The sequence below is a fragment of the Homo sapiens genome, chromosome 2 (genome assembly GCF_000001405.40).
Source record: "Homo sapiens chromosome 2, GRCh38.p14 Primary Assembly".
In the NCBI taxonomy this organism is placed as follows: Eukaryota; Metazoa; Chordata; class Mammalia; order Primates; family Hominidae; genus Homo; species Homo sapiens.
Genome location: NC_000002.12, coordinates 28,472,843 through 28,487,941, shown reverse-complemented (window position 1 = coordinate 28,487,941; position 15,099 = coordinate 28,472,843). Strand labels below are relative to the sequence as shown.

Here is a 15,099-nt window from a genome sequence, read left to right as displayed (position 1 = left end):
TCGAACTCCTGTGCTCAAACCATCCACCCACCTCAGCCTCCCAAAGTGTTAGGATTACAGGCATGAGCCGCCATGCCCTGTTCCTCTCTTCCTTCATGGATTCGGTAAGGGCTTTGTTTGTAACTGCAAGGTTAGCACCCAAAGAGAAAACTTGAGGAAACAGAATTTTCAAATTCCACATCTTCTCCATTCTAATCCCTGCATATTTTCATAGTACAATCTTTCTGAAACAGACTCTGTCTTATAATCCACAAAAATGTTTAGAAACTTGCCACACAGAGAGCGGGTGGGAAAGCCAGATTTTCAATCCAGTTTTTGTGCAGCAAAAACTTGTGTCTCTTAACCCAAGACACAACACCGCATCACTTTTGTTCAGTTGGGTATGGTCCTTAACTGACTCTCAGAGGCCTTCTAGGAGTATGTGGGAGGAGGAGCATCCAGGGACACGGCTCTCCAGAGAGTGGCTGGAATCTCAGCGTGGTCTCTGTGGGAAGCCTGGATGCCTCCTTCTACCTCCTACTCACTTTCTTCTTTGCTTCTGAGACAGAGCTGCTCAGACCAAGTTTCCAATTGTTCCTCTCTGTTGACCTTGAGATCCATGTTTCCTTAGTCATCCTGAGACTCTGAGTTCTGTGCACCTTAACATTTCTTACCTGAATTTGTGTACAATCCCTTCCGGGTCAGCATCCATCACCAGGGTGACCTTTCTAAAACACCTTCTGCTTACTTGTCCCTACCCTTCAATGTGGCTTCTGCTCCCACCACACTACTAGAATTGCTTGAAGGTCAGTAATTTGTTCAATCCAATAAACAATGAGGTCCTCAGACCTCATCTTACTTGCCATCTCAGCAGCATTTCACAGCCAACCTCGGCCCCTACTCTTGGACAACTTGCCCTTGGCCTCCAGGCTTCCAGTTTCCTGGTTTCTTCTCTCCAGCAGTTCCTTCTTGGCCTCCTTTGCCAGCTCCTTCTCTGCTGCTGAAGTTCGTCTGGAGCCTCCTCTTTCTACCTGTCTCTCAAGGTGACCACATACACCCCATTGTTTACTTAAAAATCTATGTTGACCATTCCCCCATTTCAATTTCCAGTCGGACCTCTCTTCTAAGCTTCAAACCCCATAAACTCATTCATGGACTAAGTCTCCACTTTGATGTTTCAGAGGCACCTCAAACTCAAGGAGTTAAGAACCAAACATATGATCTTCCCTGACTCATTTGTAGCCCCATCGGATATGACAAAAGTGGCTCATGAAACCACTCACTGTTCTCCATCTCCACTGCCCCCAGATGGGCCCAGGCATCTGTCCCTGCTCCCCTGAACAGCTGCCCAGCTGCTCCATGTCTACACACGCTTGTTCCAGTCTTTTCGTTTTCACACACAACAGCCTGAACAATCTTGTCAAAGGGCAAACCTGATGTCACACCCTTGTATAAAACCCTCACCAGCTTCCCACTGCCCTGCAGATCAAGTCCAGCCATTGTAGTGTCACTTACAAGGCCCTGTGCTCCCTCCTCTCTCCAGCTTCAAGTCCCACTTGGCCCATCTTCTCTGACCTCAGGCTCACTGAGGCTCCATCATATTCTTAAAAATGTCATCCTTTTTGCATCCTGGCAGCCCTAATGTGTGCTGTTCCCTCTGCCCAGAACTCTCAGACTGTGTCAGTACCCTTCCCACCTCTTGACCTCCCTAATTCTCCTTCTGGTCTCAGTTGAAATATTTCTTCCTACAATGGGCCTTCTCTGGCCTAGTGAAAGAGATGCCCTGACCTCATGCTCCTCTGGCCCCCTGCACTTCTCCTCCAATACTCAGTGTGCTTTTAATTGCTTCTGTAAAGTCTATCCTGCCAGGTGTGGTGGCTCACACCTGTAATCCTAGCACTTTGGGAGGCCAAGGTGGGAGGATCGCTTGAGCCCAAGAGTTCAAGATCAGCCCAGGCAACATAGCAAGACCCCATCTCTACAAAAAATACAAAAATTAGCCAGGCGTGGTGTTGTGTGCCTGAGGTCGCAGCTACTCAGGAGGCTGAGGCAGGAGGATTGCTTGAGCCCAGGAGTTCGGGGCTACAGTGAGCTATGATCGGGTTGCTTCACTCCAGCCTGGGACAGAGCAAGACCCCCATCTTTTAAAATAAATAAATAAGATAAATAAATACAAATAAATAAAGTCTATCCTGTCTGTCCGATGGTAAATTCCAGGAGGGCAAGGACCATGTAGTTCACTGCTGTGTCCCCAGCACTTAGCACAGAGCCTGGTATCTGTAAGTGCTCAATAATTGCTGCATAGATGAATAAAATCCAGACCCACTTCAGTCACTCCCCCAGGGCCCTCGTGAACTGAATTAAGTTTTGTGTCACAGTGGCTTAACTCCTTTTCTCTCTGGCAGTTTGCTTATAGCTTCATTGCATAACTTATTTCACCTTGTTGGGGATCCAAAAATCAGCCAACTGGGGCTGCATCCTCTGCTGGAATGGGTATAGCCCATGTTTTATTCATCTCTAACTGCCTGCACAGTCCCCAGTATGGTGACTTTGCACAGTCCCCAGTATGGTGGCTTTGCACATGGTAGGAAACTGTGTCCCAAAAACTGCACTCTTGGGACTAAGAACAATATATTGCTGCACAAAGGGAGACCTACTTGGCCTCTCCATGGCCAGAATTCTGCCCCTCGTTCTTACCTCCCATCCTGCAGAGTTGATAAATCTCTTTAAATAGTCCTCCTAAAAACCAAGAAAATCTGAAATTTTTCCAGTCATGTAAATAAGGCTAGTGAACCAATCAAGGACTGTCAAATGTTTTGAAAGGTCAATTAGGGTCTCCCTCACTTTCAAAACTCCATCCCAATAGAACACCTGCCAATCAGAGACTGCCTTAGTATTTCCTCTTTTTTCTCTAAGAAACTTACTCTTCTTTCAGATACCTTTGAACCCCTGCTGAAACCAAAATGACTGCAGATGTTTCTTTGCGGATGCAAGTTTATAAATAAGTAGTCTTTGCTAATTTTGCCTTGGGTTTAGTTTTATTTTTGACTGTAATCTTGGTGCCATGACTCGGATCCCACCTGACCTGCTCATCGCTGTGGACCTTGGCTCTTAATCAGGTGGGAGCCCACCAAGGCCCCTTGAACCACACACTGACAAGTAAACCTGCCCTGGGCCTCAGCTCCATTATCTCTCTGGTTTTTTGTTTGTTTTTTGTTTTTTGTTTTTTTTGAGACAGGGCCTTGCTCTGTCACAGAGGCTGGAGTCCAGTGGCACAATCATGGCTCACTGCAACCCTCACCTCCGAGGCTCAAGTGATCCTCCCACCTCAGCCTCCCTAGTAGCTGGGACTACAGGCACATGCCACCATACTTGGCTTTTTTCTTTTTTTTGGTAGAGACAGGTTTCCACCATATTGCCCAGACTAGTCTTGAACTCCTGGGCTCAAGCTATCTGCCTGCCTCAGCCTCCCAAAATGCTAGGATTGCAGGTTGGCCACTGTGCCTGGCCAACTCCATGCTCTTTGTGCTGAGTTCCGTGGCTGTTTTATTTACTTGTAAAATCCAGTTATTTATATTTGGTTAATGTTTCCCTTTGGAGCTGCATCCTTGGTGATTTGCTTCCACCTGTCCCTTGTTTTTTCCTGTGTCCTTAAGTGTTATTTATTTGTTTATTTATTTAAAAAAAATTTTTTTTTGAGACAGAGTCTCACTCTTGCCCAGGCTGGAGTGCAATGGCATGATCTCAGCTCACTGCAACCTCCGCCTCCTGGGTTCAAGCAATTCTCCTGCCTCAGCCTCCTGAGTAGCTGGGATTACAGCCTCCTGCTACCACATCTGGCTAATTTTTTGTATTTTTAGTAGAGACAGGGTTTCACCATGTTGACCAGACTGGTCTTGAACTCGTGATCTCAGGTGATCCACCCGCCTCAGCCTCCAAAAGTGCTAGGGTTACAGGCGTGAGCCACTGCGCCCAGCCCTTAAGTGTTATTTAATTATGAGAAGGAAGAATTTAGAGTAGAACACAGGCATAGTTCCTATAATTTGGCTGTTTGAGACAGCCTTACAGACTAGAAAGTTTGCAGTTCCCTCCAGACCAACATCCTCTAAGAACAAACTTTGCTGTGGGTGACCAATAACACCTGATGAGATTATTTTCCCATCTTGGCTATTTGTCCTGAGAGCCTTGTTTGGATTCAGAGAGCACATTCCTTCTGACACATTCCACCTGCTAGGGACTCAAGACTGTTGGGTCTAAATTCTGAGGGGCTGACCATTAGGTCAGGGGCCCAAGACACTAAGTTGTCTAAACACCTTCAGCTGACTGTAACTTTCAACTGCAGTAACCAGGAGTCTTCCCAATCTAACCTCCCCCTCTGCAAAAAACTCCGCTTCTTACAGGTATCCACATGACCACCATAACTTCTATCTCTCTAAATGGCAGAATTTCACCAAGGATGTTTTGGCATTCAATGCACACTTTGGGGAACATTTAATTTCATTCAAACTGCTCATTTGAGAGGTGCCTTAAAACAAAAGAATAAAATTCCCCTGGCCCAAGTAGCACAGTTTTTTTTGTTGTTTTTTTTTTTTTTTGAGACGGGGTCTCACTCATTTTGTTGCCCAGGCTGGAGTGCAGTGGTGCAATCTCCACTCACTGCAACCACCATTTCCTGGGTTCAAGCGATTCTCCTGCTTCAGCCTCCCAAATAGCTGGGATAACAGGTGCGCACCACCACACCTGGCTAATTTTGTATTTTAGGTAGACGCGGGGTTTTGCCATGTTGGCCAGGCTGGTCTTGTCTAAATATTACATCTTATTGACGACCCCGAATAACCAAAACAATGTTGGAAATAAAGAACAAAGCTAGAGAACTCACACTTACTGATTTCAAAGCTTACTACGAAGCTATAGTAGTCAGAACACTGTGGTACTGGCATAAAGACAGACACATAGACCAATAGAATAGGATACACAGTCCAGAAACAAACCCTCTCATATATAGTTAAATGGTTTTCAGCAAGGGTGCAAGACCATTCAATGGAGGAAAGGACAGTCTTTTCAACAAATAATGCTGGGAAAACTGAATATCTCATGCAAACGAACGAAGCTGGGCCCTTACCTAATGCCATATACAAAAATGAACTCGAAATGGATCAAAGACCTAAATGTAAGACCAAAAACTCTAAAACTTTTAGGAGAAAGCATAGGGCAAAAGTTTTATGACATTGGATTTGGCAGTGATTTCTTGAATATGACACTAACAGACAGGAAATAAGGAAAAAATAGACAAATTGGACTTCATGAAAATTTAAAAGTTTTGTGCATCAAAAGACACTATCAATAGAATGAAAAGGCAATCTATGCAATGGGAGAAAATATTTGCAAATTATATATCTGATAAGGGATTGATATCCAGAATATACACAGGATGCCTAAGACTCAACAACAACAAAACAACCCAACTCAGTAATGAGCTAAGGACTTGGATAAACATTTCTCCAAGGAAGATATGCAAATGGTCAATAAGCACATGAAAAGATGCTTAACACCACTTATCACTAGAAAAATGTGCATCAAAACTACAATGAGATACTACCTCACACCCAGTTGATGGCTACTCTTTTTTTAAAAAAAGCAGAAAATAGATGTTGGGGAGGGTGTGGAGAAATTGGAACCCTTGTACATTATTGATAGGCATATAAAATGGCACAGCTACTGTGGAAAACAGTACAGTGGTTCCTCAAAATGTTAAAAATAGAATGATCATGTCAACCAGCAATTCTAGCTCTGTGTATTTATCCAAAGGAATTGAAAGCACGGTGTTGAAGAGATATGTGCACTCCTACATTCATAGCGGCATTATTCACAACGACTAAAACACGGAAGCAACCCAAGTGTCCACTGACTGATGACTAGATAAGCAAAATGTGGTATAGACATGCAATTGAATATTATTCAGTCTTTAAAAGGAAGGAAATTCTGACATATGCTACAATATGGATGAATCTTTTTTTATCTTTATTTTTAACAGGATATGGCCCTGTTGCCTAGGCTGAAGTGCAGTGGTGCAATCACTGCTCACTACAGCCTTGACTTCTCAGGCTCAAACGATCCTCCTACCTCAACCACCCAAGTAGCTGGGACTACAAGCACACACCACGGTCAGGCCTCTGAGCCCAAGCTAAGCCATCATATCCCCTGTGACCTGCACGTATACATCCAGATGGCCTGAAGCATCTGAAGATCCACAAAAGAAGTGAAAATAGCCTTAACTGATGACATTCCACCATTGTGATTTGTTTCTGCCCCACCCTAACTGATCAATGTACTTTGTAATCTCCCCCACCCTTAAGAAGGTTCTTTGTAATTCTCCCCACCCTTGAGAATGTACTTTGTGAGATCCATCCCCTGCCTGCAAAACAGCGCTCCTAACTCCACTGCCTATCCCAAAACCTATAAGAACTAATGATAATCCCACCACTCTTTGCTGACTCTCTTTTCGGACTCAGCCCACCTGCACCCAGGTGAAATAAATAGCCTTGTTGCTCACATAAAGCCTGTTTGGTGGTCTCATCACACGGACACGCGTGACAACCACTATACTCAGCTAATTCTTATTTTTTTATTTTTTATGGAGACAGAGTCTCACTATATTCAAGTCCAGGCTGGTCTCAAATTCCTGGGCTCAAGCAATCCTCCTGCCCTGGCCTCCAAAAGTGCTGGGATTACAGGCATGAGCCACTGTGCCTGGCCAACGTGGATGAATCTTGAGGACATTATGCTGAGTGAAATGATCCAGTCACAAAAGGACAAATCCTATATGATTCCACTTATATGAGGCACTCAGAATAGTCAAAATTGTAGTGACGGAAAGTAGAATGGTGGTGGCCAGGGACTGGAGGGAGGCAGGAAAGGAGAGTTACTGTTTAATGGCTGTAGAGTGTCATTTTTACAAGATGAAAAGAGTTACAGAGATGAACGCTAGTGGTGTTTGCACATTTTGAATGCATTAAAGGCCACTGAACTGCACATGTAAAATTGGTTAAGATGGTAACTTTCATGTTATGTGTATTTACCACAATAATAATGTTTAAAACCACCGTTTGTGAATCAGACATGCCTTCTACCATAGAGCCCTAATCTAAGAGCTATTGTCAAAGATTTCCCTGAATACTGACAAGGCAGACACACCCCTTGAATTCAGAATCTCCCAGAGGCCTATAATCCAGGCTTGCCAAATGATATGGTTTGCCTGTGTCCCCACCCAAATCTCATCTTGAATTGTAGCTCCCATAATTCCCATGTGTTGTGGGAGGGGCCTGGTGGGAGATAACTGAATCATGGTGTGGTTTCCCCCATACTGTTCTTATGATAGTGAATAAGTTTCACGAGATCTGATGGTTTCATACAAGGAAACCCCTTTCACTTGGTTCTCATTCTCTCTTGCCAGCTGCCATGCAAGACTTGCCTTTCACCTTCCACCACGATTGTGAAGCCTCCCCAGCCACGTGGAACTATGAGTCCATTAAACTTCCTTTTCTTTCTAAATCACCCAGTCTTGGGTATGTCTTTATCAGCAGCATGAAGACTGACTAATACACCAGATTTCTGCCAATGAATTCACACATTGGTCAGAACATCATGTAGGGTCCCCCAGTTCCCATTGCTTTCTTTCCATGTCCTGGCCAAAAGTCACAGCCACACCTTGACTGCTCTATGACACAGCCAGCTGCAGGTTTTCCCAGCAGGCTTGAACCCAAACTTTGGCCTTGAACATTTCCAGGCACTGATGAAGGTATCTAGCTTGTTGCCTAAAACACTGAAAGAAACTGGCCCCAGCCTTAAGCCAAATTCCTTAAATCTTCGTATAAACTCCCATACTCAGACTGCCTGGCTAGTGCTTCTTTCTCGGGAATTCCAGCCAGCCCCATCTTGGGATGGTTTGGGGGCATTCCCCACCCTCCCACCTTTGGTTGCTTCTCATTATCAAGCAGGACTCATCTAAGCCCCTCTTGAGCAATGAGACAGGCACACAGGATTCTGCAACGTTCCTGTTTTTTGGTTTTTTGTTTGTTTTTGAGATGGAGTCTCTTTCCGTTGTCGCCAGGCTGGAGTGCAGTGGCACGATCTCGGCTCACTGCAACCTCTGCCTCCTGGGTTCAAGCGATTCTCCTGCCTCAGCCTCCTGAGTAGCTGGGATTACAGGTCAGGTGCACATCACCATGGCTCGGTTAATTTTTGTATTTTTAGTAGAGACAGGGTTTTGTCATATTGGCCAGGCTGGTCTTGAACTCCTGACCTCAGGTGATCCACCCACCTCAGCCTCCCAAAGAGCTGGGATTACAGGCGTGAACCACCGTACCCGGCCAATGTTCCTGTTCTTTAAACAATACATTGTGCTTTGAAATACTGGGAACTATTTCATTGTCCATCATCAGAGAGTGTCCTAATAAGCTGTGGAATAGCCACACTATAGGATACACAGGAATGAAGAAGAATGAGGTGGAGCCACACAGATTCACAAAGCTTTTCAGGATTATTAGGTTGGTGCATAAGTAATTGCAGCATTACTTTAATGGCAAAAAAAACTGCAATTACTTTTGCACCAACCTAATATAATGTTGAGTGAAAAAACTAAGAAGCTGACAGGTAAGAACAGTGAGATACCAATCAAATACTATATTTTTCTATGGGAAACTACATATGCATGTGTGTATGTGTGTGTGCATATGTAATACATATAGAAGAAAAGGCTTATAAGGATATTAAAAAGTCATATAAGTGGTTACCAGGTTACCTCTGCTTGGGGATTGGCGGTCTAAAGGTCTTTAGCCTTATTAAAGTTGTCTATACAGGCTGGGCTCAGTGGCTTACGCCTGTAATCCCAGCACTTTGGGAGGTCAAGGCGGGTGGATCAGCTGAGGTCAGGAGTTCAAGACAAGCCTGGCCAACATGGTGAAATCCCGCCTCTACTAAAAATACAAAAATTAGCCGGGCGTGGTGGCGGGTGCCTGTAATCCCAGCTACTCGGGAGGATGAGGCATGAGAATTGCTTGAACCTGAGAGGCGCAGGTAGCAGTGAGCTGAGATTGTGCCACGGCACTCCAGCCTGGGCAACAAGAGTGGGATTCCATCTCAAAAAAAAAAAAGTTGTCTATACATATTTTGCTTCAAGGATGTATTCCAGTACTGCTTGAATAACTAGACATTTTTTAAGGAGGTAAGAGAACAGTTGGAACTTTCTAGGTGATTGGGTGATATATTGACTTGGCTGACATCCCAATTCTGCTATTTATACTATGAATCATTTGCCCTGTGGGGGGCTTCAGTTTTCTCATTGCTAAAATGGGAATAATATCCTTCCCCCAGTATTTTTGAATATCTCAATGAGATGATGTAAGACCCTTCGCAGGGCCAAAGTGCCATGTAAATATCAGCTTAGTGTCCTCTCTACGGCTCCCATTGGCCCCTCTTCCTTCTCAACAACTTCTATTGACTCCTGTCCTGCTCTGAACTCTCTCCTGGACTTGCCTAACTCTCCTGCCCTCACTTTTTTACACCTCCTTGCCTTTTATGATGTTCATGAAATAGAAGGATAAAAGTAACTCTTCCTGTTGTCTGGGCAGAGCCCCTAAAGTCCTAGAGCAATTCAGAAGGTGCCAAACACACTGTTTCCTAAGTTGGGATGCAGGACCACTGTGCTACTTGAGTAAGGGTCTGTGAAATCAATCATGCCATCCTCAGTCTATCACCCACCTCCAACTCTTTGGGAGACTGAAGGGGCATGGGGCACATGGTGAGGATTTCTCTGAAGGGAAGTGATCAATGGGCTGTAGGGGATATCAAAGAATGTGTCAGGCATCCCCTGAAATTTGAGGAACACAGGAACGGATTGACCGACCCACCCTTGAAAAAGCCCCTGTGTGAGAGGGAGTGGCTGGGTAAAGAGGGGCTGTCTTAGAAGAGCCTGTGCCTCCAGGGTTTAGGGGAGCAGGGATGGGCGTGGGGGCCAGATACAGAACCTGCAGAAGCAGACTCAGAAGGGGTGAGGTGAGGGCTGATGGGAGCCTGAGAGATCTTATGTGGCCAGGCCAAGGAGGCAGCCACGTCTGTTGACTGAAGCCTCAGCAATTCGAGAGGCTTCAGAGCAACCACAGACTCCTAGGGCAGAACTAACTCTGCAATCTGCCATGTCCAAGGGCACTAATGCCAGATACAGCTGCAAAAGGTCAAGCTAGCCCTTCCTGGCCTCCCTCTGCTTTCTTCCTGTCTCCTCCACCCCTGGAGCAGCCTGGGGAGAAAAGGTGAACAGAGAAGTAAGAGAAGGAGACAGTTCTCTGCCCTTGCAGCTTCCCCAGCCTGAATGGGCTTGGCAGAGACATTTTCAATGGAACAGAGCTTGAGGTTTGACATCACATGGGGCTAGATATTTTATTACATGAGAGTGGTCAGAAAAGGATGGGAGCTGCCTGGGGTTTTTCTGCGGGGCAGAATGGGTCCGAAGAATGGTTTGCTGGAGAGGATAAGGTGCTTTCTGCTTCTGTCATGTGCCCAGCTTGTTTGGGAAGGTGGTCACCTGTGTTTCCTATCTGCCTACATAGATGAATATCCTAGGTTTCAACAGACATGACTGAGCCTCCACCAGGCATTAAGCCTGGGGCCTCTCTCTATCTCTTTTGGTTTCATGCTGCAGCCCAGCTTGTCTGATCTGAAACTTTCCCTTGCCCCATTTTAAGATTTGAGAATGCATGTGTCATGAAAGCTTCTCATCAGAGGCCTGGATCCTCCAGGTACCAGACCCCATGTATCCAGGTGGATCCCACTTAGGAACCCAGGCAGCCCAAGGGCTTCTGAAATAGCAACACCTGATAGCATGTCCGCTGGGGGCTCAGGGACCCTGTCCCAGCCATGCTGGGCACAGCGCAGAGGAGAAGCCTTCTCCTCTCCTTGAGCCTCTCAGTTGCTTCTGCCAGTTAGACCCCACCTGCTAAAAGACCTCAAGGCTCCCTATAATTGTCCAAGTCAGCAGATGTCTTAAAAACGATGTGCCTCAGTCCCAAGTGTGTAGTAGTGATTTACAGAGAACATAGGGCCACTCACCTTGCAATAAATCCTCAAGGTGGACTCTCCTTTCCTGCAGGCCTCTCCCCTCCTCCTTTCTCATATGGGTGGCAAATAAAACAATTCTTTCCCCAATTCAAGGCCCAGTCCTCAATCAGCATTTCTTCCCTTCCCCTGTGGCCATCACCTCCCTGGAGCCTTGTGTTCCAGGCCCTCTCGCCTCCCTCTCACTGACCCCTGGTGCTCCAGGTGCCCAAACCTTACCCGGCACTCAAGGACAATATGCACCTCCCCTGCAAAACTCAGTGACCTGAACCCAGAGGCATCCTCCCTGAGAGGAGCCTGAGGTCAACACATGTTTACTGTGCCACTTCCATATGCCAGGTGTGCCCACTGACCTCAAAGAACTTATATTCTATATGCCAGGCGTGGCCACTGACCTCATGGAACTTGTATTCCATACGCCAGGTATGGCCACTGACCTCATGGCTGGGGCAGGGTCTCTGAAGGGACATGCTATCAGGTGTTGCTATTTCTGTTTGTTTTGTTTTTTTTTTGTTTTTGTTTATTTATTTATTTATTTATTTATTTATTTTTTGAGATAAAGTCTCGCTCTTGTCTCCCAGGCTGGAGTGCAATGGCATGATCTCGGCTCACTGCAACCTCCACCTCCTGGGTTGGAGCAATTCTCCTGCCTCAGTTTCCCAAGTAGCTGGGATTACAGGCGCCTGCCACCACGCCCGGCTACTTTTTTTTTTGTATTTTTAGTAGAGACAGGGTTTCACCATGTTGGCCAGGCTGGTCTCGAACTCCTGACCTCAGGTGATCCACCCGCCTCAGCCTCCCAAAGTGCTGGGATTACAGGCGTGAGTCACCATGCCAGGCCAGGTGTTGTTATTTCAGAAGCCCTGGGCTGCCTGGGCTCCCAGGTGGGATCCGCCTGGATACATGGGGTCTGGTACCTGAAGGATCTGGGCCTCTGATGAGAAGCTTTCATGACACATGCATTCTCAAATCTTAAAATGGGGCAAAGGAAAGTTTCTATATTCTAAGCACTGTAGAGAGGCATTCATCAAAGAATTTCACAAATGAATATAAAATGATAATATGGAAACATACCAGCAGGTGCCTCTCCTAGGCTCTTTGCACAGCTCTGTGATTAGTAGGATCTTGGGGAATTCCAGGAAAGACCAGGTGGCTGTAATGCAGAATGAAGGGAGCTTGAGGCAGGAGAGGTCAGCAGGAGCCCCCTAGGCCTTGGTAACATCTGGGCCTTTATTCTAAGAGGAAGAAGAGGCTGGTAAAGGGTTGTAAGTGGGAAAGTGACAGGACCTGCTTCATGTTTTCAAAAGCTGACAGATAGCTGCATGGAGAAGGGAAGGCTGGGAGATAAGGACAGAGCCAGGAGCCCAGTCAGGAGGCTGTCACTCTCCAAGCCAGAGCTGAAGGAGGCTCATGGTGGTGGAGAAGGAGGAAGGTGGTGGGAGGTGAGGCCAGCTGGACTTCCGGGGTTGAGTGGGGACTTAGGGAACTTCCCTGTCTCACAAGAGGATTGTAAAATGCACCAATCAGCACTCCATAAAATGCACCAATCAGCGCTCTGTAAAACACACCAATCAGCACTTTGCAGCTAAAGCACCAGTTTGGGGCCAATAAGGGAAAGGATTCTAAAAGTAGCCAATCACGGGGAGGATTGAAAAAAGGCACTCTGATAGGACAGAAATGGAACATAGGAGGGGACAATAAGGGAATAAAAGCTGGCCACCCCAGCCAGCAGCAGCAACCCACTTGGGTCCCCTTCCATGCTGTGGAAGCTTTGTTCTTTCACTCTTCACAATAAACCTTGCTACCGCTCACTCTTTGGGTCTGTGCCATCTTTAAGAGCTGTAACACTCACTGCGAAGGTCCCCGGCTTCATTCTTGAAGTCGGCCAGACCACGAACCCACCAGCAGGAACCAATTCCAGACACAGTGGGTAAGGAGATGTTCAGGAAGTGAAACTGATGGATGATGTGTGTAGGTAACGAAAGATCTCTGACCTTTGCACTGGAATGGATGCACTTCATTCCCTGCATAGGGATCACTGGGCATGGGAATTTTGGAAGAATGCAGAGGGAAATCATCAATGCAGATGTGGACACAAGCAGCATGCAGTGCCTTTAGGACACACACTCAAGAGATGCCGGAGGGGCAGGTAGACCCATGGATCAGAAACTCAGATGAGAACTCTGGGCCAGAGTGGCTAAGAGTCAGATGCAGTCACTCAAGCTGTGGCAGCAGAGCCTGCTAGGAGAGAGAACAAGGGGGAAGGGAAGGGCCTGGGGAACTCTTAATGATATTTAATAGCTGGGCAGATAAGAAAAAATCCTACAGTGCAGACAGAGGAAAAACTGATTGGAGAAGTAAAAGGTTTGTGTCAGGGAGAGAAGTATGTTTTTAAAATAGAGAATACTGCTGAAAAGTCAAGGATATGAGGCCTGGAAAATTGGGTTTTCTCAATAAATAAAAATAAAATAAAAATTGCTGACCTTAGTGGGATCCCTAGAGCCTCAGCTCAGTGTCCCTGGGCACCTATTTCCAATCTGGAATTTTTTTTTTTAAGAGACAGAGTCTCACTCTGTCATCCAGGCTGGAGTGCAGTGGCACCATCAACGCACTGCAGCCTTGAGCCTGGGCTCAAGTGATTCTCCCGCCTCAGCCTCCAGCGTAACTGGTACTACAGGCACACACCATCATGCCTGGCTAATTAAAAAAAATTTTTTTTTTTTAGAGATGGGCTCTTGCTATGTTTTGCTCAAGCTGGTCTTGAACTCCTGGTCTCATGTGACCCTCCCACCTTGGCCTCCCAAAGTGCTGGGATTATAGGCATGAGCCAATGTGCCCAGCCACCACTCTGGTGTGTCTGGAATTGGTGGGTTCTTGGTCTCACTGACTTCAGGAATGAAGCCGCGGACCCTCGCGGTGAGTGTTACAGTTCTTAAAGGCGGCGTGTCCGGAGTTTGTTCCTTCTGATGTTCGGATGTGTTCGGAGTTTCTTCCTTCTGGTGGGTTCATGGTCTCGCTGACTCAGGAGTGAAGCTGCAGACCTTTGCGGTGAGTGTTACAGCTCTTAAGGCAGCATGTCTGGAGTTGTTCCTTCCTCCCAGTGGCTTCGTCGTCTTGCTGGCTTCAGGAGTGAAGCTGCAGACCTTCACGGTGAGTGTTACAGCTCATAAAGGCAGTGTGGACCCAAAGAGTGAGCAGTAGCAAGATTTATTGCAAAGAGCGAAAGAACAAAGCTTCCACAGTGTGGAAGGGGACCCCAGCAGGTTGCCACTGCTGGGTTGGGCAGCCTGCTTTTATTCTCTTATCTGGCCCCACCCACATCCTGCTGATTGGTCCATTTTACAGAGAGCTGATTGGTCTGTTTTGACAGGGTGCTGATTGGTGCATTTACAATCCCTGAGCTAGACACAAAAGTTCTCCACGGTCCCCACTAGATTAGCCAGATACAGAGTGTCAATTCGTGTATTTACAAACCCTGAGCTAGACACAGAGTGCTGATTGGTGCATTTACAAACCTTGAGCTAGATACAGAGTGCTGATTGGTGCCTTCACAATCCCTTAACTAGACATAAAGGTTCTCCAAGTCCCCACCAGATTAACTAGATACAGAGTGCTGATTGGCGCATTCACAAACCCTGAGCTAGACACAGGGTGCTGATTGGTGTGTTTACAAACCTTGAGCTAGATATAGAGTGCTGATTGGTGTATTTACAATCCCTTAGCTAGACATAAAGATTCTCCAAGTCCCCACCAGACTCAGGAGCCCAGCTGGCTTCACCCAGTGGATCCTGCACTGGGGCCGCAGGTGGAGCTGCCTGCCAGTCCCGCGCCATGTGCCCACACTCCTCAGCCCTTGGGCGGTCAATGGGACTGGGTGCCATGGAGCAAGGGGCGGTGCTCGATGGGGAGGCTCAGGCCACGCAGGAGCCCATGGTGGGGGAGTGGCGAGGCTCAGGCATGGCGGGCTGCATGTCCCGAGCCCTGCCCTGCAGGGAGGAAGCTAAGGCCCGG

At 46.7% G+C, this 15,099-nt stretch overlaps 1 annotated feature.

The window, feature by feature from the left end:
* Positions 10,680-10,729: an enhancer, noted in NCBI's record as "active region_15516". NCBI's record gives its function as "activates an Ori minimal core promoter by ATAC-STARR-seq in GM12878 lymphoblastoid cells {active_cell/tissue: GM12878}" and the evidence as "EXISTENCE:reporter gene assay evidence [ECO:0000049][PMID:35858748]".